Here is a 3,419-nt window from a genome sequence, read left to right on the forward strand (position 1 = left end):
TTTTGTAAGAGCAATATCACATTGTACCTCACTGAGAATTCAAAGAAAATCTTTTTCTAAAACTTTTATTTTCTAACTCAGCTATTATTCACGGGTATTCATTTCTTTGATTTTACTGCCAGTGGTTCTCCCCCAACATCACTAACTCTAGCAGTATGTTTTGTTTTGCTTTGTATTTTATTAGTGTTGCTAATTTATGGTTAAAAGAAGTGTTAAGTATTAAAGTTCTTACATACCAAGTATAAAAGTTGTAGGAATTTTCTGATTTGATTTTTTAATAATATTTCCCTAGATTTTCCAGAGGCATTGGAATGAAGTTTTGATGATGAACCATCTTGGAAAAAGGGGCAACACACTAGGAATAAGAAATATAAAAAATAAAAGTAAAGATGCGTTCTGAAACCATGGAACCCTGGCATGCTAAAATTCAGACCTATAGAAGAGCAAATGCTCTACTTTCTGAGGGTATTAAAAAGTTAAAAGAAGTTGAATCTATATCTCTTTCTCAATTATAAATAGGTCATCACATTAATGACATTAGAAATGTAAAACCATTGAAAATATAGTATTGAAATATCAAGTTAATTAAATAATTGAACCACTGTTAAAATTAATTAAACATGAATAAAAGAAATTGAATAAGAAACAAATAAATGAAAAGATTTTTGCGTTCATATATTGGAAGAAGTAATATTGTGAAAATTTCTATTCTACCAAAGCTATCTATAGATTCAATGAAATACCTATCAAAATACTGATAGCATTTTTCATAGAAGTAGAAAAAAATTCTAAAATTCCCATGGAATTACAAAACATGCCAAATAGCGAAAGCAATCTGGAGCAAGAAGAACAAAGGTGGGATCATCCCACTGCCTGGTTTCAAAATATACTACAAACCTATAGTAATCAAAACAGCATGATACTGGCATAAAAACAGACATGTGAACCAGTGTAACAGAACAGAGAGACTAGTAATAAATCCATGCATTTAGAGTTAATTGATCTTTGACAAAGATGCCAAGAAGACATAGTGAAAAAAGGGTAGTGTCTTTAATAAATGGTATTGAGAAAAATGGATATCCATATGCAGAAGAATAAAATTGGACACTTATTTCACACCATATACAAAAATCAACTCAAAATGGATTAAAGACTTAAATGTAAAACTTGAAATTGTAAAACTACTAGAAAAAAAAAAGTGTTGTGGAAAAGCCTCTTGCCAATAGCTGGGCAATAAATTTTGGATATGACCCCAAAAGCACAGACTACAAAAGGTAAAATAGACAAATGGGACTGCATCAAACTAAAAAGCTTCTGCACAGTGAGAGAATCAATCAAAAGAGTGAAGAGACAACATATGGAATGAAAGAAAGCATTTGCATACCATACATCTAATGAGGGGTTGATATTTAAAATATGTAAGGAATCCACACAGTTCAATAGTAAGAAAACAAATAACCCAATTTAAAAATGGGCAAGTAGTCTGAATAGACATTTCTCCAAAGAAGGTACAGAAATGCCAGCTGGTATATGAAAAATACTAAACGTCACTAATAGTCATGGAAAAGTAAATCGAAATCACAACTAGATATTACCACACACCTGTTAGAATAGTTAATATCAAAAAGAAAAACGATAACAAATGTAGACAAGGATGTGGATTAAAAGGAACCTTTGTACACTGTTGGTGGGAATGGAAACAGTATGGATGTCCCTCAAAAGAATTAAAAATAGAACTACTACATGCTACAGCGATCCTACATGCTACAGCGATCCCACTGGTGTATATATTTCTAAAATAAATAAAGCCAATATGTCAAATTTATAGCTGCACTCCCATTTTTATTAGTATCTGTTTCAGCATTATTCACAGTAGTCAAGACATGAAAACCACATATGTGTTTGTCAATGAATGATCGAATAAAAAAAAGTGTTTCTGTATGTGTGTGTGTATGTGTGTACAGAGGTATAAAAGGTTTAATATTTCTGCTGTGCAGAATGGATAAGTTCTGGAGATCTAATATACAGCCTGGTTAATTTAGTTAATAATACTGTAACTTATATGGGGAATTTGCTAAAACAGTAGATCTTAAATGTGTTTTCAAAAACAAAAAATAGGTAACTATGTGATGTGATGTATATGTTACCTTTTCACAATGTATACATTACCTTTTCACAATATATACATATTTTCAAACATCATTTTGTACATTGTAAATACATACAATTTTTATTTGTCAATTATACCTTAATAAAGCTGGGAGAAAAAAACTAAACTGATTTCCAGCAGGAAAATACTGCATTTATAATAATAACTTTAAACCTAAAGTTTAATAAATAAGTTCAAACATTGATTATTATTTGGAAGCACAGCCAACTGTATTTAATTTTGGACAGTTGTATTATTTCACATCTTTTATTTAATTAAAACTGAAGCTGAAAGATTAATATAGCCAATTCCCCCAACAAATACCTTCATTTTATCTAGCGTAAGTTAAGTATACCAGCATAATCTTTATTAATTTTTAACCCATGAATTTCCCCTTATTCTCCTCACGTAATGACAAAACAAACTTTCTGATTCATTTTAGATACTCCTTTGTTCACTGAACTTTTTTTTCTAAATTTTAAATTTACATGGCTATAGTATGTCTGTGACATTCAGCAGGAGGCTTTGAGAACACATTTTACTTTTTATCAATTTTACTTTTAGAAATGAATAAGGTACTGTTTTTGAGTTTTGAATAACTAAATTTAAATCTAATTTTACAGTCAAGTTATAAAAGATCCAGTTAGAATTGTGAAGGATAATCCTAAAAATAAATATATTAAATATATAAAACTGAGATGCCAATAATTTCAGTCTATTAAATTACTCTCAACATCACTACTACTAACAAAAGTTCCACTGTGATTTTTTAATCTCTCTCACATAAAATAAAACTTCTTTTAACCTTGGCAATCTGGACTAATTCCAATTATCTCACTAGCTTTTTTTTCCCCCAATTTTACTTAATATTTTTAATTTGTTTTATTCAATAAAATATGTAATTCCAAAAATAGCTATGACAATCTCAGATCATTCCTCCACATATATAAACCTCATAAGCAGTTTAGTGATGACCTTTGTAACTAAGCAAACATTGTTAAATATTGAAACAATGTAATGGGCATTTTAACTCTAGTAACTATTACAAATCAATTCAGAATTCATACTAGTTCAAATAAAATAGAAGTTTATTTTTGCACGACACTCCAAAGTTGTGTTCCTTGTCAGAAGGGAAGCTCCACACAGTCATTCAGGAATCTAGGCTGCCCAAGATGCCACCCAACATGTGACTTCTACAGTTACTGTGGCTTTCTTCATCCTGGTCAGTCAAAAGGGAAGCAGGACCTGAAGGAACATGTGTGAGCTATTT

This window comes from Homo sapiens, chromosome 9 (genome assembly GCF_000001405.40).
Source record: "Homo sapiens chromosome 9, GRCh38.p14 Primary Assembly".
In the NCBI taxonomy this organism is placed as follows: domain Eukaryota; kingdom Metazoa; phylum Chordata; class Mammalia; order Primates; family Hominidae; genus Homo; species Homo sapiens.